At 44.1% G+C, this 25,856-nt stretch overlaps 1 protein-coding gene across 7 annotated transcripts in view; it reads left to right on the top strand.

Annotated features, from left to right (window-relative positions):
• Positions 1 to 25,856, top strand: part of KSR2 (kinase suppressor of ras 2) — a 515,979-nt gene that overhangs the window by 171,340 nt on the left and 318,783 nt on the right. The window lies entirely within an intron of this gene.

Below are 25,856 nucleotides of genomic sequence, written 5' to 3'. Positions count from 1 at the left end.
GAGGTGAAATTTATATAATATAAAATTAATCGTTTTAAAGTGAACAATTCGGTAGCATTGAGTACATTCACAGTGTTGTGCCATTATGCCTCTGTCTAGTTCCAAAGTATTGTCATCACACCAAATAGAAACCCCGTAGCCATTAAACAGTCGCTCCTCATTCCCTCCTTCCCACAGTCTCTGGCAACTACCCTTCTACTTTCTGTCTTAATGGATTTACCTGTTCTGGACATTTCCTGTAAGTGGAATCCTGTAAGATGTGACACTTTGCATCTGGCTTCTTTCACTTATCAAAATATATTCAAGATTAACCCAACTATGGCATGTATCAGTACTTTATTCCTTTTTATGGCTGAATAATATTCCATTGTATGGATAGGTCACATTTTATTATCCATTCCTCTGTTGATGGACATGGTGATTGTTTCCACCTTTTGGCTATTGTGAATAGGGCTGCTGTGAACATTTGCATACCAAGATTTGTTTGAGCACCTGTTTTTAATGTGGGGTATATGCCTAGAAGTGGAATTGCTGTCCTGTGGTCATTCTATGTTTCACTTTTTTGAGGAGCCCTAACCCAGTCTTTGTGTGATGATCTCTTCCCCATCCGCATGGTGAGCTCTGGGGATCAGGGGCTGGGTTGGCTTTGTTCTTTGTTGTGTTCCCAGGCTCCAATTCAAAGCTCGGCACTCAGTAGGCACTTGGTGAATGCTTGTTAAATGAGTGATCAGGGGAATTAAGAAACTTTGGGCTGGCCTCCTTGGCTGTGGAGTTGCTGGGCATTTTGGAGGCTGGGCAGCAGGTCTGGGACTGAATGCCATGGGGGTTCTATCAACATATGGGTTGAGCTGGAGATCTACGGGGTTAATTGAGCCATAGTGTCTCTTGTTTTCCTTAAGCCACCTTGTTAAGGGGAAGCAGAGGTAAGTTGCATCTTGTGAGCCCTTCCTGGCACGTTTATCATCCCCTCTACTCTGGAAACTCCACATTCATTTCACAGCTGAGGAAACTGAGCCTTGGGGAAATCAAGGGTACATGCCTGGTAAGGGCAGGGCTGGGATTTGAACTTAGACCTGTTTGACTGTGAAGTCCGCAGTCTTCGCCCAACACGATGAGATTCCTTTGGGTGTAAAATATCACTGGGAGCTTCCACGAATGTAGCATGGGTTTGGAAATTTATAGGGCAGCTTATATCCCTTCCACGTTTGTCTAACGTGATGCTGATGGTAATGACAACTTGTTTTTTTACCTTATGCCTGGGATGTAATTTCCTGAGATCATTTCGTTTAGTCCTCACCATCACCTTACTAGGCAGGTATTATTCTCCCCAATTTACACACTAGGAGACTGAGGCTCACACATGCACTTGCTCACAGAGGCCTAACTAGTAAGAGACAATGCTTGTATTTAAATGCAGGCCAGCTGGGCATGGTGGCTTCCGCCTTTAATCCCAGCACCTTGGAAGCCGTGGCAGGAGGACTGCTTGAGTCCAGGAGCTCCAAGGCCAGCATGGGGAAGCTAGTGAGACTCCCCCATCTCTACAAAAAAATTAAAAAATTAGCTAGGCATGGTGGCACATACCTGTGGTCCCAGCTACACAGGAGTCCGAGGTTGGAGGATCATTTGAGCCCAGATGGTTAAGGCTGCAATGAGCTGTGTTCATACCACTGCACTTCAGCCTGGGTGACAGAGTGAGAGACCCTGTCTCAAAACAACAACAATAACAACAACACAGGCTTTGGCCAGATGTGGCGGCTCATGTCTGTAGTCCTGGCGCTTTGGGAGGCTGAGGCAGGAGGATCACTTGAGCCCAGGAGTTTGAGACCAGTCTGGGTAACATAGTGAGACCCTGTCTCTACAAAAAATTGATGGCATACACCTGTAGCCTCACCTACTCGGGAGGTTGAGGCGGGAGGATTGCTTGAGCCTGAGAGTTCAAGGCTGCAGTAAGCTATGATTGTACCACTGCATTCCAGCCTGGGCAACAGAGCAAGACCCTGTCTCAATAAATAAATAAAAACCACAGGCTTCTGTCTCCAACCTTCACTCACTCTGAATTCTTGCCAGGAAGCTGTCGCAACCTCTTTCCTGCATCTTGGAGGCAAATGTCATTCTCTGGGAGCTGGGGACATCTGTGAAGATTCTGGGTCCTTTCCAGAGGGTCTTGGTGTCCTGACAATCCTGAGCCATTTCTCTGAATCTTGTGCTCTTCTGGCATTCCAGTCTGTTCCACTTGGCATGCTGAGCTCCGTGTGAAAAGGTGGCATCATCTTCCAGAAGGCTGAGGTAGTATCTGCCAGGAGGAGGCAAAGATGATGTCGCCAGGAAGGTGACACCATTGACAAGTTGGATTTCGTCTATTTCTAAAAAGTCTGGAGGTTTTTCAAACCTTGTGCCCATCATCCCTGAAGTGTACAGGGAAGAAGAAAATGGTCCCAGAAATAAAGAATGAATTTCTTCCGAGGCACTGTCAACAGCAAGGGACCCGTTTCCAGAGGCTGGAAGAATGATGAGTCGGTGTCCTTTGCCGTGCAAGTCAGAATGATATGTCTTGGGGGCATTTCTCTGCTAAAGGAAAGAAGCATGACACCAACTTAGAATTAGGGGCACTCTTGTGGCAAATGAAGTCCTGGAAGTTACTGGGGCTGGAAGTCAATCACTTTGCTGCAGCTTGGGGAAAACCATTAGCAGTGTTCTCTGATACTGTAGTTAGGCTGTCTCTTTCTGTCCCTTGCTGGGCCGCCTCTGGACAAGAGCCCTCTAATCAGCTGTCACTATCATCAACTGGCTAAGAGTGATGGGTCGTAGCGAGGCTTTTCTCCCCCTTGATTAAAGTTGGTATATTTCCCCGTCCTATTTAAAGTGACTATTCTGTGTGTGTGTGCACGTTGGGTGTGTGTATGCATGTTGGTATAAGTGTGTGCATATTGGTGTGTATGTGTGCATGTTGGTGTGTGTGTGCCTGTTGGTATGAGTGTGTGCATATTGGTGTGAGTGTTTTGAGTGTGCATATTGGTGTGTGTGTGTATGGTGTATGTGTGCATGTTGGTGTGAGTGTGCATGTTGATGTATGTGTGCATGTTGGTGTGTGTGCATGTTGGTTGAGTGTGCATGTTGTGTGTGCATGTTGGTGTGTGTGCATGTTGTGTGTGCATGTTGGTGTGAGTGTGCATGTTGGTGTGAGTGTGCATGTTGGTGTGTGTGCATGTTGGTGTGAGTGTGCATGTTGTATGTGCATGTGTGTGCATGTTGGTGTGAGTGTGCATGTTGGTGTGAGTGTGCATGTTGGTGTGTGTGCCTGTTGGTGTGAGTGTGCATGTTGGTGTGAGTGCATGTTGGTGTGTGTGCATGTTGGTGTGTGAGTGCATGTTGGTGTGTGTGCATGTTGGTGTATGTGTGCATGTTGGTGTGAGTGTGCATGTTGGTGTGTGTGCATGTTGGTGTATGTGTGCATGGTGTGTGTGCATGTTGGTGTGTGCGCATGTTGGTGTATGTGTGCATGTTGGGGTGTGTGCATGTTGGTGTGAGTGTGCATGTTGGTGTGAGTGTGCATGTTGGTGTGAGTGTGCATGTTGGTGTATGTGTGCATGTTGGTACGAGTGTGCATGTTGGTGTGTGCATGTTGGTGTGAGTGTGCATGTTGGTGTGTGTGCATGTTGGTGTATGTGTGCATGGTGTGTGTGCATGTTGGTGTGTGCGCATGTTGGTGTATGTGTGCATGGTGTGTGTGCATGTTGGTGTGAGTGTGCATGTTGGTGTGTGCATGTTGTATGTGTGCATATTGGTGTATATGCGCATGGTATGAGTGTGTGCATGTTGGTGTGAGTGTGCATGTTGGTGTGTGCATGTTGCATGTGTGCATGTTGGTGTGTGCATGTTGCATGTGTGCATGTTGGTGTATATGTGCATGGTATGAGTGCATGCTGGTGTGAGTGTGCATGGTGTGTGCATGTTGTATGTGTGCATGTTGGTGTGTGCATGTTGTATGTGTGCATATTGGTGTATATGTGCATGGGATAAGTGTGCATGTTGGTGTGAGTGTGCATGTTGGTGTATGTGTGCATATTGGTGTAAAGGTGTGTGCATGTTGGTGTGAGTGTGCATGTTGGCGTGAGTGCACGTTGGTGTATGTGTGCATATTGGTGTAAGGGTGTGTGCATGTTGATGTGAGTGTGCATGTTGGTGTATGTGTGCATGTTGGTTTGAGTGTGCATGTTGGTGTGTGTGCATTTTGGTGTGTATGTGTGCATGTTGGTATGGGTGCACAGTGGTGTGTGTGCATGTTGGTGTGAGGGTGTGTGCATGCTGGTGTGTATGTGTGCATGTTGGTGTGAGGGTGTGTGCATGTTGTGTGTATGGTATGTTGCATGTTGGCGTGTGTGCATGTTGGTGTGAGGGTGTGTGCAGGTTGGTGTGTGTGCATGTTGGTGTGAGGGTGTGTGCATGTTGGTGTGTATGTGTGCACATTGGTGTGTGTACATGTTGGTGTGCGTGCATATTGGTATATGCATGTTAGTGTGTGTGTGCATGTTTGTGTGCACGTTGGTGTGAGTGTGCATGTTGGTGTGAGAGTGTGTGCCTGTTGGTGTGTGTGCATGTTGATGTGAGCGTGTGTGCATGTTGATGTGAGAGTGCGTACTGTTGGTGTGTGTGCGTGCATGTTGGTGTGAGAGTGTGTGCATGTTGTGTGTGCACGTTGGTGTGAGCGTGTGTGCATGTTGGTGTGAGGGTGTGTGCATGTTGGTGTGAGGGTCTGCATGTTGTGTGTGTGTGCATGTTGGTGTGTGTGCACACAATGCAAACCAATATTTGCCTTGGTGTCTTCACTTCCACAGTTCTCAGTTATTTTTAGGGATGACGCACCCCACATCAAAATAACTGGTTATTTTTATGATTGGGTGCATCAATCACATTATGACATATCCCAGGTCTGGAGAAATAGCAGCCAACCAGCAGTCAAGACAGGGAAAGGGAGTAGGATGATTCAGACACAGGGACAGAGGCAGAGGGCAGGGGCCGCGGGGCTGGGAGAGGCTGCTGATTTGATTTAAGTGACTGAGGTTCCTAATAATAGCCCTTGTGGGCTTACTCTGTGCCTGGCACAGTGCTGAACACTTTGCATGTAGGATCCCTTGTAATTTTGCGAGAATCCTCTGAGATAGAGGCTCCCAATATCCCTGTTTCACAGATGAAGATGTTGAGGCCCAAAAGCTAACCAGCGTGCCCAGGTGTTGCATGTAGCGTAAGCAGGTCTGTCTGACTCCAGAACTGCAATTCTTCTTCTTCTTCTTTTTTTTTTTAAAGACAGTGTCTCACTCTGTCAACCAGGCTGGAGTGCAATGGCACGATCTCAGCTCACTGCAGCCTCGACCTCCCGGGCTTAAGCAATCCTCCTGCCTCAGCCCCCTCGAGTAGCTGGACTACAGGACAGGCACACACCACCATGCCCAGATAATTTTTATTTATTTTTTTTTTTGTAGAGACTGTGTCTCACCATGTTGTCCGGGCTAGTCTCAAAACTCCTGAGCTCAAGCGATCTACCTGCCTCAGCCTCTCAAAGTGCTGGGATTACAGGCATGAGCCACTGCGCTTGGCCAAAACCGCAATGCTTTATCATTGCTCCCTTTGCATCTTACAGAGGGAATGTCAGATCTTTCACCTTCTAGAAGCTCCATGTATTTATGCAGTGGGCACTCATTGTGGGCATAGTGCTGTGCAATCTGTTTTTTGGGAGTAGAGAGAAATATGGGGAGAGAAGTAGAAGAGAAGTTTCTGGTTCTAAAATACACAGAGTACGTTTAGTTGGTGAATTAAAATGTTGATATCGGTTGCAACACAATCCATGGATCTGGGCAGTGTAGGATGAACTGCAGTGGAGTTTTTGATCGCTGATGCCTCCGTTCCTCAGCCTCCTGTGTGTCTCACTCATCACCATGTCCCATTCAAATGTCCTTCAAGTTGGTATATGCCTCTGCTCCCCTCCCACCTCCTCCAGCAGCCAGAGTGACCTTTCTAGAAAGCACCTCTCATCATGTCACTCCTTGGCTGAAAACCCCTCAGTGTCATTTCCACAGACTGGTTGTTCCAATCACACTGAGCTATTTTTATTTTTATTTTTTTGCCATTCATTCATTCACTCAGTAAATATTCGAGGATCCATTATAATGTAACAAACTCCATTCTAGGCAATAAACAAGATAGACAAAGTTTCTGCTTTTAAGAAGCTTATATTCCAGTTGGGGGAGACAGATAGTAAATGAATAAACTGGAAAATATCAGAGAATGACTCAGGGCTGTGAAAAAGAATACATCTTTGATATAATCGGGAGTGACTGGGAGGTCAAGGGAGGCTTCTTTGAGAAGGTGACATGTAGGCTAAGGATCGGTGTGACAGGAAGCAAGCTCCTGAAGGATCTGGAGGAAGAGCTTTGCAGATAGGAAGCAACAAGTGACAAGGCCCTGGGGTGAGCTGGTGGGCATAAAGGAAAGAAGGAAGATCAGTGTGGCAGGAGATGAGAGTTGGGGAAGGGTAGAGGTGGGTGAGGTGGGAGAGATGTGGGCTATGCTCTGATTAGGGAGAGAATTGTAGGCAATTAGCAAGAATTTGGATTCTAAGGGAATAGGGAGCCATTAAGGTTGATAGGAGGGGAGTGAAGGTCTGATACATGATTGCAAAACATCCATTGTTCTAGTCAAATGGGTTAGAGAGGAGCTAGAGGGGAGTCAGAGAGACCAGTTGGGAGGCTGCTGCAGTTGTCCAGGTGTGAGGTGAGGGTATTTGGGACTGGGTCACAGCAGTGCTGATGGACAGAATAGATGGATTCCAGGAATGTGCACAGAGGTAGTGTGGATGGGTCTTACTGTGGGGTGGGAGGAAGGAGATTTATCAAGGATGACTCCGTGAAGGGAAAATAAACCATGGGCTACCAGAAGCACTAAGCTAAGGCAAAAGTCAAGCTGGCAAACCTGCCTGCCATTTTATTCCAAAATAAGATAGCTACAAAGATTAAAAAGCGACATACTTCTCTCACAGTTTGTTCCTTGTGGCCCACAAGATCTTTCCCCTAAAACAGTTCTGTTGAATTTCACCCTGGCAATGTAAATGGGTAGCTGATATTCACAGGTGCGGGACAGAAAGTCATCCCTCTGCTTGCTTGAGACAAATGCATATCTGATTGCTTCCTCTGCCCTATTGTTTAGGTAAAAATGCAGATTCACGGAGCCAGACTGAATTGTGTATTTAGTGGAAGGCTGATCAAGAACTCAAAAGAATGCAACCTTTTGTCTGTCATCTACCTGCCCCTTGCCTCTAGTTGTCCCACCTTTCTGGACTGAGCCAATGTACCTCTTACACATGCTGATTGATGTCTCCTGCCTCCCTGAAATACATAAAAGCAAAATCTGTATCCTGACCACCTTGGGCACATGTCATCAGGACCTCCTGAGGCTGTGTCACAGGCACGTCCTTAACCTTGGCAAAATACACTTTCTAAATTGGTTGAGACCTGTCTCAGATATTTGGGCTCACAACTCTTATGTTTTGGTCCCATGCAGTGGAGTGGAAGGCAGTGCTATGTATGGAGTTGGGGAAGCTTGGGACCTTGGCAGGGGTCCAGGTGTGACGGTGGAAGCGTCAGCCCAGGGCATTGGTCTAGGGTCCAGCGTGTCTTCCTCCAGATACCTCTAAGATTTAGCAAAAACGTCATCTCCTCCCAGAAACCCTTCTGACCAGCAAGACATGCTGTGTGTGTGTGTGTGGACAATACTTTGCAGGCTTTATGAGTTGTCTGTTTACCTAATTTTGCTGTGTACTCAGCAGGGATGGGGACCTTGTCTGTTTTGTTCCCTGCTGTATCTCCAGGTACCTGACACTCAGTAGTGCTTTGTGCAACTAAATAGAATTGCTTATAGGAGGAATTGGTGGAGGGGAGGGGCTTCCCTCAAGCATTACGTTTTGACCAATGTGAGGGATAGGGAGGGACTGAAGGATAGGAAAGAGGCCAGCATGCAAGGTGGCAGGAAGAGTCATATTAAGAAAAAGATCCAAACGTGGGCTTAAATGATCTGGGTTCAAACCCCAGCTCTGTTTCTTTCTACCGTGTGACCTTGGCCAACATCCTTTGCTTCTCTGAGCCTCAGTTTTGCCACCAGTTAAAAGGGAATCGTGGTAGCTGCCTAGTAAGTTTTCCCTGGTGGATACATGAGGCAACAGAGGTGGAAGCATCTCAGAGGATGCCTGGGGGAAAAGTAAGTATGTGCCTGAATTCGAATCTGAAAGGTCTGAGCAAGGCTGGCTCCATGCAGCCTCCCCTAATAACGCCACCTGGGTCTTCTCTGGTCACAATTACTGACAGGAGAGGGCTTTGCAGACTGTATCTACTTCATTAAGGATCAGATTTCTCTTTTGCCTTACAGAAGGCATCCACCTACCATTTTACGGAGTGAGAAGAAAAGGTCAGAATTATAGGTGCTTGGAGACTAATTTGCAGTGAGATGTACGAAGTTTAGCAACTTCAAGTTTTTCAAACCCTGAACGTTCTTAATCTCCAAGTCTAGACAAATTGCAAAGTGAGATCACTGGACCAGCAGCAACAGCAACCCCTGAGAACTTGTTGCAAATGCAAAATTTCAGACTTCACCCCAGATCCCAGGTATGGGAAACTTAGGGGTGGAGCCTAACGTTGTTTTAATAAGCTCTCCAGGGAATTCAGATACATGCTCAAGTTTGAGATCCACTAGCCTAGAGCTTCCTTTTTAATGGAGAGAGAATCATAGAATATTCAACTTGAGAAGATCAGCTTTGTCTTCTAGTCCAGGTCATTTGAAATGTGTTCTGGAGGCCGGGCAATGTGGCTCACACCTATAATCCCAGCACTTTGGGAGGCCAAGGCAGGTGGATCATTTGAAGTCAGGATTTTGAGACCAGCCTGGCCAACATGGTGAAACACTGTCTCAACTAAAAATACAAAACAAACAAACAAAAAAGCCAGGCGTGGTCATACGCACCTGTAATCCCAGCTACTTGGTAGGCTGAGGCAGGAGAAATGCTTAAACCTGGGAGGCAGAGGTTGCCGTGAGCTGAGATCATGCCACTGCACTCCCGCCTGGGCAATGGAGTGAGACTCTGTCTCAAAAAAAAAGTGTTCTGTACAACATTGGAGCTCAAGTCCTACCTGCAGGATTTTTCAAAGCTTATAATATGCTAATGTGCTTTTTTAATCTCCAGGGGAGGGTTATAGCATGCAGTCTTTTTCAGATTTCCTTTCAGGACTCATATCCCATGGTACAGTTTGGAAAACACAGATCTAGTCCAATCTCCCAGCAAGTGGACAATTTGAAGTTACCTTCTGTAAATTTCTGGTTATTCAGCCTTTCCTCCAAGTCTTCTAGATACAGGGAGTTGCTGACCTTATGAAGTCATTCATTTCTTTTGTTTCAGAGGAGATCTTGGTAACTATTAGCATTTGCCTTACAGTAAGCTAAATCTGTTTTCCTTTAATTTCCTCTTGGTTTTACCTCTGAGTCCTGGAACCTCCTAGAACAAGTCTAATTCACCTTCTGCCTGACAGCAGCAGGAAGACAGCTGTTCATTCTCCATCTCTTTCCAAGACTTCTCCTTTCTGGTTCCCATCCCATAGACATGGTCTGACTTTTTTAGCTAGTGAAGTATTTAGAAATTGCTTCTTTAAAATTGCTTATTTCCCACGTACAGTTTCAAAGAGTGATTACAAAGAGCAAATGTTTATTATTGAGTTGAAAGGTATCTCAAGAATTTTCTGGTGTGGTGTAGTTTATCTCTACTTCATCTATCTGAGACAGATGGCAGTTCATCCTGTTAATAAAGATCTGGGGGAGATCACACAGTCTTTCTGGTTAGTCTGCTTTGGTGAGTCCAGTGGTTTTGCTCATCTGAAAGCTCCTTCTTGTGCCTAGCCACGTGGTTTACTTACCCTTCCACTCCTAAACTATATTTGCACTTTGCTTTGACCAACCAATTAACTGGCTTTCTTTTTTTTTTGAGATGGAGTCTCGCTCTGTTGCCAAGGCTGGAGTGCAGTGGCGCAGTGTCGGCTCACTGCAACTTCTGCCTCCTGGGTTCAAGCAATTCTCCTGCCTCAGCCTCCCGAGTAGCTGGGATTACAGGCATGTGCCGCTGTGCTCGGCTAATTTTTGTATCTGTAGTAGAGGCGGAGTTTCACCATCTTGGCCAGGCCCATCTCAAACTCCTGACGTCAGATGATCCGCCCGCCGTGGCCTCCCAAAATGCTGGGATTACAGATGTGGGCCACTGCTCCTGGCCTACTGGCTTTCTTCTTATCTCTCATTTACCCATTTACTCATTCATTCCATGCACATTTGAGTATCCATTCTGTGCCTGGTATCCCACAAGATGCTACAGAGCCAAGACTGAACAAGACCAAACTGATCTGCACAGACCTTACAGTCTCTAAGGGAGAAGAGCAATGATCATATAAACACATAAATACACACTTTAAACTTGTGCTGAGTGGACAGGCAGTGGCAGAGAGTAGTGGGGTAGGGACAAATTCAGATGAGATGGTCTAGGAAGGAAGCTTGATGTTTGAGCTGAGAGCTGATATACATAATTTTTTTTTTTTTTGAGATGGAGTTTTGCTCTTGTTACCCAGGCTGCAGTGCAGTGGCGTGATCTTGGCTCACGGCAACCTCCACCTCCTGGGTTCAAGCGATTCTCCTGCCTCAGCCTCCCGAGTAGCTGGGATTACAGGCTTGCAACACCACGCCTGGCCAATTTTGTATTTTTAGTAGAGACAGGGTTTCTCCATGTTGATCAGGCTGGTCTCGAACTCCCGACCTCAGTGAGTTTCACTCTTGTTGCCCAGGCTGGAGTGCAATGGTGCGATCTCGTTTCACTGCATTCTCCGCTTCCTGGGTGCATGTGATTCTCCTGCCTCAGCCTCCTGAGTAACTGGGATTACAGGCACCCACCACCACGCCCAGTTAATTTTTGTATTTTTAGTAGAGACGGAGTTTCACCATGTTGGCTAGGCTTGTCTCAAACTCCTGAGCTCAGGGGATCTGCCTGCCTCGGCCTCCCAAAGTGCTGGGATTACAGCCGTGAGCCATCATGCCCAGCCAAAAGATGTTGTTCTAAATAGATACTAGGGTCTGCTTAAGGGTGGAGGGTGGGAGGAGGGAGAGGATGAGAAAAAAGAACTATTGAGTACTAAGCTTAGTACTTGGGTGGTGAAATAATCTGTACAACAAACTCCCATGACACAAGTTTACCTATACATCAAATCTGCACATGTACCACTGAACCTAAAATAAAAGTTTAAAAAATAAAAAAAATAAAAAATATGTTAGTATCATGGGTAATATATGAGTGAGTGGGACAGCTTGAATGCCTGCTTAGTAAAAAGTGGAAAATACGATTGAAAAAATATACTTCTTTCTTAAATGTTGTTAAAATGGAATAAATGTCAAAATTTATCTGCAAAAAAAAAGATGTTCTAGTAACTTGTCTTTCATAGTCTTGATAAGAAATCTCCTGTCATTCAAGTTGTTGTCCTTTTATCTATAATGCATCATTATTGTTTTTTTAATGGCCGCTTTCAAGATTTTCTTTGGCTTTCAACAGTTTGATTATGATGTGCCTAGGCGTGGTTTTCTTTGAGTTTATCCTATGTGGGGTTTGCTGAGCTTTTAGAATTTGTGAATTTATGTTTTTCACAAAATTTGGGAATTTTCAGCCATTATGTCTTTAAGAGTTTTGTTTTGTTTTTTGTTGTTTTTATTCTGCACCAATCCTTCTTAATTCTCCAGTTAGATCTTTTGAATGTTAGATCTTTTGATATTCTCTAATTGCTCCTTGGGGCTTTTTTAAAGAAATCAATCTTTTTTCCTCTCTGTTCTTTGGATTTGATAATTTCTATTCACCTAACTTCACATTCACTGACTCTTTCCTTTGTCATCTCCGTTTTGATATTGAGCTCATCCAGTAAATGAGAACATTTTCCAATGAATTTTGGATAGTGTATTTTTCGATTCCAAAATTTTCATTTGGTTATTTTTTAATAGCTTCTGTTTCTCTATGAAAATTGCTATCTTTTCATTTCAAGAGTGGTTACCTTTATCTTATGGAGCATGGTCATAATGCCTGCTTTAAAGTTTATGTCTGGTAATTCTAATATCTGGCTCATCTCAGTGTTGCTACCTATTGATTGCTTTTTTTTTTTTTTTTTTTTTTTTTTTTTGAGATGGAGTCTCACTCTGTTGCCCAGGCTGTAGCGCAGTGGCAGGATCTTGGCTCACTGCAACCTTCACCTCCCGGGTTCAAGCAATTCTCCTGTCTTAACCTCCCAAGTAGCTGGGACTACAGGCACCCGCCACCATGCCCAGCTAATTTTTGTATTTTTAGTAGAGATGGGGTTTCACCATATTGGTCAGGCTGGTCTCAAACTCCTGACCTCAGGTGATCCACCTGCCTTGGCCTCCCAAAGGGCTGGGATTACAGGCGTGAGCCATCATGCCCAGCCTGTTGATTGCTTTTGCGTTTGAAAATTGGTCAGGATTTTCCTGGTCTTTGGCATATCACGCAATTTTGGAGTATCTCCTGGAGATTTTGAATATTTTTGTGAGACTCTGGGTTTCCTTCTGGAGAATATTGATTTTTGGTTTGCTTGTTTTGTTTTTCTTAAGCAGTCAGTAGTCTGGTTAGAGTCAGACTGTCGGTGCTGTCTTGTCTTCTATAGGTGGTGCTCCAATGCCAGTTGAGTTCCTAAAGCCTTTGCCATGCTTCTTAGGGTTTATTCCAAGTGTGGGCAGCATTTCACACACAGATTAGGGCTCTCCTCCAGTTCTTTTCTTTTGGAGATAACTTGCACATTATCTGGCTTTCAGGGGCCTCTTTCTCCAGTTCTTTTGGCCAAAAAGATAGGGTTCTGTTAGAGTTTTAGCCTCTTGTCTTGTTGCACAGATCTGAATGACTGGCCTTCTCATTGGCGGTAAAGTGGTGAGAGAAAAGAGAGAGAAAAAAACCCATGGGTGCAATGGACTTAAAGATGATGCAAATAGCAGACACTGGGGACCACTAGATGGGAGAGAGTGGGAGGGAGCAAGTGCTGAACAACTCCCTATTTGGTACTGTGCTAATTACCTGACTGTATTAGCCTGTTCTCGTGCTGCTAATAAAGACATACGTGAGACTGGGTAGTTTATAAAGGAAAGAGGTTTAATGGACTCACTGTTCCACGTGGCTGGGGAGGCCTCACAATCATGGCAGAAGAGGAAGGAAGAGCAAAGGGACGTCTTACATGGTGGCAGGCAAGAGAGCTTGTGCAGGGGAACTCCCATTTATAAAACCATCAGATCTCGTGAGACTTACTCACTACCATGAGACACAGTATGGGGGAAACTGCCCCCATGATTCAATCATCTCCACCTGGCCCTGGCCTTGACATGTAGGGATTATGACAATTCAAGGTGAGATTTGGGTGGGGACACAGCCAAGCCATATCACTGAGTGATGGGGATTATTCATACCCCAAACCTGAGCATCACACAATATACCCCTGTAACAAACCTGCACATGTACCCATGAATCCGTAACAAAAGTTAAAATTATTAAAAAATTAAAAAAAATTCTCATGTACTCTTCCTTACCTTATTCACATAACATTGGCCTCTATTCTGAGCTTCTCAGTCCAAAGGAATGGGATATCTTTTGGGGGCTTTGGTGCCTGTGCTGTTTCTGTGTCATATGAGTGCAGTTTTGTGTCTGGGCTGATTTTGGGACATGGCTGGGATAGAAAAAAGACACACACACATAAAAACCCCAAGGATTCTGCCCATACTCTCCTACTCACAGATCTTCCTTTCCTGGTCCTCTGGCCAGAAATATGGGATACTCTGAAGTGTTTACTCCTCATTTCCAAAGCACAGTTCCTAAATCCTGCCAACTTTTGGCCAAAACTGACAGATGAAGGAAACTCACCACCGCCATAATGGCCATGCTTCAGATGTGGACTCCCCTGCCCTACCCACCTGCTGTCATTGACTTGTAGGAATCCTCAGGTTGTTGCCTTTTCCATTTTTTTTCCCAGAATTTTTGGGAAAGATAGGCTTTGGTGGGCTTGCTCTATCATGGCCAGAGCCAAAACTGGGATGGGTATTTTTTAAGTATAAAATCACTAGACCCTCAAAACAATCCTATGAGGTGGGTGACACTATCCCCATTTTACAGATGAGGAAACAGAGGCTCTGATAAGTGAATCAGGATCTAAGCCCTCACCCGATTGCTGTTGTCGTGCTACTTGGCACCTTGCTCAATGCGTTGACATGATGCAGAGGCTGTTTCCTTGCTTGCCTTATCTCCCCTATTCCACTATGGGACCCTTGGGGTCAGGGGCTACATCCACCTTGTCCTTCATCCATGAAATCAAGAAAATATTAATAACTACCTTGTAGTGCCGTTGTAAGGGTTGAATTAGGTAATATACATATAATATTTAGAATAGTGTTGGGCACACGGTACACTTTCCAAAAAAGGGTGATCATGATCATTGTCATTTTTATTTTTTCCTTGGATATTGAATGCTGACAGCAAAGCAATTGACATAGGGTAGGGCTCAGTAAATATTTATTAAGTTCAGTCCTTGGTGAAACCATTTTTATCCTTAAACACCATGGATCTTACTTTGTTGTTTCTTTTAGAAACCCATGAGCATTTTTTGCGATTATTATGTGTAGTCCCCCATTCTACCCACAGGATGTTGCTATGTGGGGCGGAGGGGTCTAGATGTCCTGGTCCCATTCTTACCCTACAGCCTTTCCTGTTTTCTTCTTTTTCTTGCTCAAGTTGAACTTTTCTCACTTCTCCCTTATCGAGAAATAAGAGGAACTCTGGGTTCAAATTTTGGCTTTTTCACTTAGGAGGTTTGTAGCTTAAAACATGTAAAACACAGACCCCTAGAATCTCATATATACTTTGTGAAGAATAGAGTCTACCCCACAGTGTTGCTGTGAGAATTACAATGAGGTGGTACTCGCAAAATGTCTAGCATAGTTCGTGGCACATAGTAGATACTTTAAAAATATTTGTTTCTGGTTGGGTACAGTGGCTCACGCTTGTAATCCCAACACTTTGGGAGGCCAAGGTGGATGGATCACTTGAGTCCAGGAGTTTGAGACCAGCCTGAGCAACATGGCAAAACCCTGTGTCTACAAAAAATAAAAAAGATTAGCTAAGTGTAGTGGTGCACGCCTATAGTCCTAGCTACTCGGGAGACCAAGGTGGGAGGATCGGTTGAGCCTACAAGGTTGAGGCTGCAGTGAGCCATGATTGTGCCACTGCACTCCAGCCTGGGCAACAGAGTGAGACCCTGTCTCAAAAAAACCTGTTAGTTTCCTCATTAACATTTGATAATAAGATATTCAGCTGCAGTATGAGAGGAGTTACTCTAGATACAGGAGGGGAGTTCTGGTCCAGATACTATTGGCCAGAAGCTGACCAAGGCTTCTAGCATCTCAAAAGAAAGTACCTGCTCCATAGTATGCACTCAATAAAGACATGTGGAAAGAATAATCAACAGAACAATTCGAATTTGCTACCCTATCTCCCAGCATCAGACTGCCCTACAGGGTTGGTAACTAGGGGTGGAACGATGTTAAGCATGAACATCTCTGTTGCTAGTATCTAAACATGCTTAGTTCCACTTTACCCGATGATTTTTTATCAGTTTCAACGGTTTAATTATTGTTTAGACCTGCAGGGATATTTTTAGTTTTGCATTTGTTCTTTATCTCTGGGTTCGGCAGCATCTCCTTTTAGAGATATCCTTTGGAAGCATTGTCAACCTGACGTTTGGGCTCCAGAGGCAGGCTGGGTGCCAGGGAGGGTTAACTGCTAGGGGGACTCATTTGTGTTGGCTTCCTTAGGTCAAGCCAGTAAAATATTTATTGGTGTAAATTTTGTGCCAGGGGCTCAGATGGTTTGAGGATATGGAAGATACCAAGACATGGTCCCTGAGCATCAGGAATTCATCGTCCAGTTGAAGACACAGACAAGTTTACAACTCAAATGCAGTGGGTTTGGTTCGTGAGGGGTGATCATTGGTGCCATGACATTGCACATGGCACTGTCCTCTGGATAAATCCTCAGCTCTCCACTTTGACTTGTCCACCTCTTCTCTGCCTCACTTTCCCCCTTCCCTCTCCCCATCATCTGCACTCTACCTCCTCTGCCACTCTGAGCCTCCTCCGGTGGATCACATCTTTGGACAGACTGGTTCTGGCTGGGACACTTGTCCCTCTTTCTTTGCTTAATGAACCGCCACTCATCCTCCAGACCTGTATTAGTCTGTTCTCACGCTGCTAATAAAGACATACCTGAGACTGGGTAATTTATAAAGGAATGAGGTTTAATTGACTCACAATTCCACATGACTGGGAGGCCTCACGATCATGGCGGAAGACGAAGGAAAAGCAAAGGGACTTTTTACATGGCAGTGGGCAAGAGAGAGCGTGTGCAGGGGAACTCCCATTTATAAAACCATCAGATCTTGTGAGACTTTTTCACTGCCATGAGAACAGTATGGGAAATACTTGCCCCCATGATTTAATTACCTCTCACTGGGTCTCTCCCACAATACGTGGGAACTATGGAAGCTACAATTCAGTGAGATTTGGGTGGGGTCACAGCCAAAGCATATCAAGACCCCAGTGCAAATGTTCTTCCTTAAGGAAACCTCTCCGTAACCCTCAGCTCTGGGTTACATTGCAACAACCTTTATGACATTGTGAGATGTGATTCCTTGTTTAGCGCCCATCTCTTCTTCCAGATGTGTGCTAGACATTGTATGTCCAAGAGAAAGATCATGGGAACCATGTATGTAATTTAAAATTTCCTAGTGGTTACATTTAAAAACATTAAAAAATCAGCCAACATTAATTTTTTATTGTAGGAAAACACACCAAAGTTTACCATTTTAACAATTTTTAAGTGTACAGTTTAGTGGCATTAAACATGTTCACAAGGTTGTATAATCATCACCACCATCCATCTTCAGAGCTTTTTCATAATCCCAAACAGAAACTCCATGGCCATTAAGTAATCTCAGCCCCTGGTAACCCCTATTCTTCCTTCTGTCTTTATAAATTTGCATCATCTAGATACCTTATGTAAGTGGAAATATACACTATTTGTCCTTTTGTGTCTGGCATATTTCATTTAGCATATGGTTTTCAAGGTTAATCCATGTTGTAACATGTATCAGAACTTCCTTACTTTTTAAGGTTGAATAATAATCTGCTATATGGATATATCACATTTTGTTTATTTATTCATCCATCAGTGGGCACTGAGCTGTTTCCAGCTTTTGGCTATCGTGAATAATGCTACTCTGAACATTGGTGTATAAATATCTGTTTAAGTCCCTTCTTTCAATTCTTTTGGGTATCGACCTAGGAGTAGAATTGCCAATTGCTCATTGTGTGTTTAACTTTTTGAGGAATGACATTAATTTTTACAATATATTTTATTTAACCCAATATTTCCAAAATATGATCATTTCAACTTGTAATCCATGTAAAAATTATTAATGAGCTGTATTACTTTTTTCATGATATGTTTTCGTAACCTGCTGGGTAGGGTGTGAATTCTGTGTGGATGGAGAGACTGTGCATCTTCAGATCAAAGTACCTGGTGTATAAGTAGGTGTCTGATCAAAAGATGCATGCACACATTCTGCCTGGGGAAGGGAAGAGAATTACTACTAATGATAGCAACGATAGTGTGTTTGTCTGTTTTCACACCACTATAAAGAAATACTCAAGACTGGGTAATTTATAAAGGAAAGAGTTTAATTGACTTATAGTTCTGCATGGCTGGGGAGGCCTCAGGAAACTTACAATCATGGCAGAAGGCAAAGGAGAAGCAAGTACCTTCACAAGGCGGCAGGAAAGAGAGAGGACAGGAGAAACTGCTAAACACTTTTAAAGCATCAGATCTCATGAGAACTCACTCACTATCATGAGAACAGCACAGGGGAAGCCGACTCCATGATCCAATCACCTCCCACCAGGTCCCTCCCTTGACACGTGGGGATTACAATTCGAGATGAGAGTTGAGTGGGGACATAGAGCCACACCATATCAAATAGTAACAAAGATAGCAGGCCCACTGCTTGCTTGGTTTTTCATGTTCACCCTAAGAAGAGGGTACTTTTATTATTCCCTTTTTAGATGCATGAACTGAAGTTCAGAGAGGTTAAGAAATTTACCCCAAGTCACACAGCTAGTAAGTAGTGGAGCTGGGATTCAAACCCAGCTCACTGGCCCTGCTGAGTTCTACATGCTGTGGCAAGAAGTTATGTTGGCAGGTATTAAATCTAGATGTCTTGGAAAAGCCCCCTGGTGCCCATGCAGTTGTCTGCCTTAGTTAAGAGGAGTTAAAAAGGTTGATAGACGTTTACACAGCACCTTTCTCTTAGAAGTATCCACATTTCTCTCTGCCTCTAGGTCAAGACTATGTGGATAACCTGAGCAAATTGACCTCCTGGCACACCTGGCTCTGAAGGCTTCATAAGCACTGTCTTTGCAGAGGGAAATTGGGAGGGAAACCGGGGCAGGTGCTGGCCCCACTGAATCTGCACAGGGAGGGGAAAGCCAAAGGGATTTGGAAAACCTGCGCCCCAAGTCAGTTGTTGGGAGATAAAAATAGGGCACCTTGCAGCACATAAGGTCATCGAATGCTACTTTTAGCTTTCTTGAATTTGCCAACACAAGAGGTTATAAAACTAATATAATGCCTGTCACTCAAGGGAGGCAGAGCAATAGAACAACAAAGGGTTCTGGAATTAGGAGCGTCTCAGAGGTCATCCCTCTCTAATGTGGCTTTCCTGGTGTGGACTCTCTTGTGCAAGCATGCGTGGGAGCCAGCCTGAGCTGGATGGGCCTCCTAAGCTTCTCACCTCCTTCTCCCTCCCTCAGAGGCCCATGAGAGAGCCCATTCTTCCCAGCTGGTGGAGGCACAGCTGTTTCTCAGAGGATGCAGAGCCAGAAGAGGCAGGATCAAGATAAGGACGACCTTCCACCCTTTCTTCTGGTCACCAGGCCTTCATTTCTCAAGACTATCCATCTAGGGTAGCCCTATGCATGAATAGAATTTTGACTATAGCGAGTTGTCTCCCACTTAATTTCTTGCCTGAATTCAAGGTGCATGATACCAATACTGTTATCCATCATGGCAGCTTTAATTTATGACTGTTCAAGGATTGTTTCGGCCGGGTGCAGTAGCTCACTCCTGTAATCCCAGCACTATGAGAGGCCGAGGCGGGCAGATCACCTGAGGTCAGGAGTTTGAGACCGGCCTGGCCAATGTGGTGAAACCCCATCTCTACTAAAAATACAAAAATTAGCTGGGCATGGTGGTTCACACCTGTAATCCCAGCTACTTGGGAGGCTAAGGCATGAGCCAGGAGGTGGAGGTTGCAGTCAGCTGAGATGGTGCTTGGACAACAGAGAGAGACTTCATCTCAAAAAAAGTAAAGAAGAATTGTTTCATTCCACAAATATTTATTAAAGCAACATATAATTTGTGCATTGAGACAAAAAATTATATTTATTTTAATATTTTTTTGAGACAGAGTCTCACTCTGACACCCAGGCTGAAGTACAGTACCACAATCATGGCTTACTGCAGCCTTGATCTCGCAGGCTCAAGCAATCCTCCCACCTCAGCCACCCAAGTCGCTGGGACTACAGGTGCATGCCACCATACCCTGCTAATTTTTCATATTTTTAGTAGAGATGGGGTTTTTGCTGTGTTGCCCAGGCTGGCCTCAAACTCCTGGGCGCAAGTGATCCACCAGCCTCAACCTCCAAAATGCTGGGATGACAGCATTTTGAGCCACTGCACCTGGCCAAAAATTAATATTTATTTATTGCAAGGCAGTGGGTGATACAGTAGTGAGAAGGTGAGTCCAGGGCTCTGCCTTCTTAGAGCTTATATTCCAGTGGGAAAGATGGATGATAAACGGATAACAACAGTCGATCCTCATTATTTGTGGATTCTGTATTTGTGAATTTGCCTACGGGCTAAAATGTATTTGTAACCCTTAAATCAATACTTGCATTTGCAGAGTGGTAAAAAACTTTGAGTCGCCTGATGTGCACAACCCCTGAGGTTGAACAGGGCAGCATTCTGCCCTCTCATTTCAGCTCTCATGGTGTAAGCAGTGTCCTTTCTGTGGTCTTAAACTGAATGCTAAGTTTTTCACATTTTGTTTGTACTTTGTGTGGGTGATTTTGCTGTTTACAATGGCCCCAAAGCATAGCGCTGAACTGCTGTCTAGTGTTCCTTAGAATAAGAAGGCTGTGTGTGCTGTGCCTTATGGAGAAAATACCTGTGTTAGATATTCTTGGTTTAGGTTTGAGTGACAGTGCTGTGGGCTGTGAGCTCAATGTTAATGAATCAACTATATATATATATATATAGTGTATATATGTATGGTGTGTATATATATATATATAATATAGTGTATATATATATGGTGTGTGTGTGTATATATATATATATATATAAAATATATATATTAAATACAGTGTCTTGAAACAGGAACACACCTAAAACAGGGTTATGTGTGGATGAGTGGATGATAAGATGACCAGAGGCTCGCAGGAACCTAACCACATATCTCTCCTAGTCGCAATGGTTCAGCATTTGCCAATTCAGTATTTGCAGTGACTTTATGGAAGAGAACACAATTGCCACAAATAACAAGAACTGATTGTATAACAAAACAGTTCCACTGAGTGGTAAGGGTCATGAGGAAATGAAACAGGAGGAGGAATGAGAGAGTAGCTGGGATGGAGGTGGGTGGGGAAGCCTCCCCAAGGTGAAGAATTGAGATGAGATCCTCAGAGCTGTGTGTGCCCAAGCCACCGTGGAACCCGGGAATCCTGATGTTCAGGGTATTGTGCCTTTGACCCTGCCCTAACATCCATATTAGGTTGTTTAGGGCTGTAGTGAGATGACAGCGACCATCAAGGTTTATATCCATGACTCCCAGGGGCCTGTGGTCTCCAATGTCAGATCCAGTTACCCCCAGCAATATAGATATACTTGAAAAGGGTTATTGAGGATGGTATCTTGAGTATTTCTTTTATCCTTGATCCCCCAAGTCTGGCCCCATGTGAGTCTGGGCTGCAGTTTATAATTTTATGAGTTGTAGTAAATACCCCAACTCTAAGATAGGGTTTATTTTATTGCAATATTGCAATACTAGGCAATGTTTTATTGCTGTATTCCTGATGTAGATTTTAACTGTGATTTTAACCAGGAAGGGCTTTGTGTTTTAGTTTAAAATGTCCAATGAATGATGATAATCATTCTCTTCATTCCAGAGACTGGAAGCAGCTGAGTCCCAGGTTTAATTGCACTTGACAATTAAAATGCTAAATATTGTAAAACAATTCTACACAGTGGAGGGGAAGGAATATGGGGTTGGGGCTGGATGGATGGATGGACCTGGAACTTTCTAGATGGGTGGATCTTTTTTAAAAATTTAATTAATTAATTAATTTTTATTTCCATAGTTTTTTGGGGAACAGGTGGTACTTGGTTACATAAGTTCTTTAGTGGTGATTTGTGAGATTTTGTGCGCTCATCACCCGAGCAGTATACACTGAACCCAATTTGTAGTCTTTTATCCCTTCCCCACTCCCCACTTTTCCCCGCTGGGTTCCCAAAGTCCATTGTATTATTTTTATGCCTTTGCGTCCTCATAGCTTAGCTCCCACTTATGAGTGAGAACATATGATGTTCAGTTTTCTATTCCCGAGTTACTTCACCTGGAATAATAGTCTCCAATCCCATCCAGGTCGCTGTGAATGCCATTCATTCATTCATTCCTTTTTATGGCTGAGTAACATTCTAGATGGGTGGGTCTTGGGAAAGTTTCTACTCCTCTCTCTGTCTCAGTTTCCCCATCGGAAACATGGGGCTGATGATTCCTATCCCCTGGGTACTCGTTTCCTATTCAGATGTGCAGTATGTTTATAGCAGCCAAGAGAACGTGCTCTGTGGTCAGACTGCCAGGTTTTGAATTTCACTTTGAATCTTGGCCTTGGGCCAGTGACTCCACTTTTCCAGAGCTGTAATTTCCTCTCAATCTCACAAGATTGTTATGAGAATTAAATGAAATAAGGTGTGAGAATGAGAGGAGATGCTGCAAAAGCCCAGCCCACAGTAAGTGCTCGATAAATGTTAGCTATGGCCATTACTAAGAATGTTTTATTAAACACCCACTAGGATGGCTATGATGACAATGATGATAAACAACAAAAACTAACAAGTGTTGGTGAGGATGTGGGGAAGTCAGAACCTTTATATGTTGCTGGGTGGGAATGTAAAATGATGCAGGCACTGTGGAAAACAGCAGGGTGGTTTCTCAGAAGGTTAACCACAGAGTTACCATCTGACCCAGCAACTCCACCCCTAGATATATGCCCCAAAGAACTGAAAACAGATGTTCAAACAAATACTCGTACACAAATGTTCATAGCAGCACTATGCACACTTGCCAAAAGTAGAAACAACTTAAATGTCCATCAGCTGAGGAATGCTTAAACAAAATGTGGTGTATACATATTATTCAGCCATAACAAGAAAGGAAAGACCAACACATGCTACACTTGGATGAACCTTGACAACATTATGCAAAAGGAAAGAAGCCAGACACGAAAGACCACATAGCGTAGGATTCCATTCATATAAAATAGCTGGAATAGGCAAATCCACAGAGACAGAAAATAGTTTAGGGCTTGCCAGGGGCTGGGGGAAGAAGGGAATTGGGAAGGATTGCGAATGGGGACAGGGTTTTCTTTTGGGTGTAATGATAGTGTTTTGGAACTAGATAGAGGTGGCGGTTACACAACATTGAGAATGTACTAAGTGGTGCCGAATTCTGTACTTTGAAATGGTTAATGTGAATTTCACCTCAATACATTTTTTCTTAAAAAGAGCTTTGTTAAAACAAAAAAGCTACCCTAAAGTTAGTGACTGAAGGTTAATCTTCCCAGTCTCTTGGTGGGTAATAAAATCATGAATCTCATAGAGCAGGACGTGGGAGGCATTACGGGGTCAGAGCCTGTGCTCCCTGCCCTGTCCCATCTCCCAGGTGACCTGCCCAGACTAGGGTCAGTGCATTTGTTTGGTTCTACCTGGGGACATCCTGGGGCGGGGCTAGTGCCCAACGAGACCCAGGGTTCTGCTGAATGCCAAGCTCATTAATGAGGTCTTAGATTAAGATTCTTGCTAATGTTGAATTACTTTGGCAACTGTATGTTTTTCATTTGTCCTTATTCGCTTCTTTTTGCAAGGATGACAAACTCGAAACTCAAAAAATTTTCCTGGATTTTCGGTTTCAGGCTTTCTGGGATTGTGGCTAAAATGAATGTCCTATTTGACTTTCGGGAGGTCAGAAGGAGCTGCCCCAGGTGCTGACCCACAAGCCTGTGTATAATGGCTCAGCTTTCCAAGGGCTTTCTGGACGGGTCTCTCATTTCCTGAGGGGTTAGGGGGCTCCAGAGAACCCTCCAATGGTACAGATCTGGATCAGAAACCCTGATCTACCACTTACTAGCTGTGTAACCTAGGGCAACTCAGTCTTTCAAATAATTATCTGTTCCTAGCACTGTGAAGTGGAGACAATAGCGGAATTTTCTTCATGGGGTCTTGTGAGGATACTATGAGGTGATACACGTGAATACTTAGAATAGTATCTGGCACATGGTAGGGGCACAGCAAACAGTAATTGTCATTTGTACTACTAGTACTTATTGTACTTCGCTTTTCCTGTGATTCCAGTCAAATATTTTCAACCAGTGTCTAAAAGTTTTGTCTCTTGCCAGAAAGTTATGAGGATTTAAACCAAAAAACAGTTTTTTTCTTCTACCAATGACTTCAGCCTAATATTTTCAGCCAGCATCTAAAAGTTCTGCTTCTTGCTAGAGAGTTTTGAGGATTAAACTAACAAGTGCATTGAAGTATTCACAAAAGTTACAAGCAGTGTTGATCCTGGAATGGTAGACTCTCTGTCACTTCTGCCTCTGAAGAGCTAAAGAATCTACTGTGTAGATTCCAATGCTGGCTCCGAAATTCAGAGAAATTTAAGCCACGTGATTGCCTGTTTATAACATTTTAATGGGAAGGGACAAAGAAGTTAGACACTTGCTTAGACTTTCTGAAATCACTTTTTCCCTTGAGAATGGCTTTTATTTCTCTTAGTCCCTTATCAGAGAATGTCAAGTGAAAAACCCCTACACCTTGAAATGTCTTTAATCAATCTTCAGACCTTTCAGTTCTTAAAAACCTATTCCCTTCTCCCCACCCATTTCAAGACTTGAAATAAAATGATTTGCCAGAAACAGATGACAAGATAGCAAGGGTGACAATTAATAACCCCCAGAGCCCCCTGCTACCACACCTTTCCTATTTAAAATGATAAATTACCTATTTCCCTCAGACTTTATTAAAAAGAGGATCAAAAGAGAGAGGGAAGAGTTGATACAATACAGCTCATCAGTGAAACGCTGCTGAAGCTTCGGCAGAGAGAAGTTGAATCCCTGTCAATTTAGAAGCCGGTAATTTGGATAATGAAATGAGACTTTTTGCATTTTTAGCCCCAAACTTCTAGTTTTGAAGTGTAGGGGTGGAGAGGAAGATAATTTCATGGGAAAGATAATTTGGCAGAGGGTAAGACTTTTCTTCCTCTCTGCTTCTCTCTCAGACTTTGAACAAACTTCAAGGAAAGAAAGTAAACTTGAGGGCGAGTCGATGTTCCCGTGGCCCCGGTGGAATGGTGTGTTGTGTCAGTGTGTGCTTGTGCGTCTTTGGTGGAATGGTATGTGTGTGTGTGCGTCTTTGGTGGAATGGTGTGTATGTGTGAGTGTGTGTTTGTGCATCTTTGGGGGAATGGTGTGTATGTGTGAGTGTGTGTGCATCTTTGGGAGAATGGTGTGTATGTGTGTGTGTGCGTCTTTGGGAGAATGGTGTGTATGTGTGTGTGTGCGTCTTTGGGGGAATGGTGTGTGTGTATGAGTGTGTGTTTGTGCGTCTTTGGTGGAATGGTGTGTATGTATGAGTGTGTGTGCGTCTTTGGGGGAATGATGTGTATGTGTGAGTGTGTGTGCGTCTTTGGGGGAATGGTGTGTATGTGTGAGTGTGTGTGCATCTTTGGGGGAATGGTGTGTGTGTATGAGTGTGTGTTTGTGCGTCTTTGGTGGAATGGTGTGTATGTGTGAGTGTGTGTGCGTCTTTGGGGGAATGGTGTGTATGTGTGAGTGTGTGTTTGTGCGTCTTTGGGGGAATGGTGTGTATGTGTGAGTGTGTGTGCGTCTTTGGGGGAATGGTGTGTATGTGTGAGTGTTTGTGCGTCTGGGGGAATGGTGTGTGTGTATGAGTGTGTGTTTGTGCGTCTTTGGGGGAATGGTGTGTATGTGTATGTGCGTCTTTGGGGGAATGGTGTGTATGTATGAGTGTATGTGCATCTTTGGGGGAAAGGTGTGTATGTGTGTGTGTTTTTGTGTCTTTGGGGGAACGGCGTGTATGTGTGTGTGTTTGTGCGTCTTTGGTGGAATGGTGTGTATGTGTGAGTGTGTGTTTGTGCATCTTTGGGGGAATGTGTGTATGTGTGAGTGTGTGTGCGTCTTTGATGGAATGGTGTGTATGTGTGAGTGTGTGTGCATCTTTGGGGGAATGGTATGTATGTGTGACTGTGTGTTTGTGCGTCTTTGGGGGAGTGGTATGTGTGAGTGTGTGTTTGTGTGTCTTTGGGGGAACTGTAGGCTACGGGGAGGGGTGGGTCCCAGCTCAG

This window comes from Homo sapiens, chromosome 12 (genome assembly GCF_000001405.40).
Source record: "Homo sapiens chromosome 12, GRCh38.p14 Primary Assembly".
NCBI classification, from domain to species: domain Eukaryota; kingdom Metazoa; phylum Chordata; class Mammalia; order Primates; family Hominidae; genus Homo; species Homo sapiens.
Note: the sequence above shows the minus strand (reverse complement) of the source record. Positions and strands in the feature narration are given on the sequence as shown.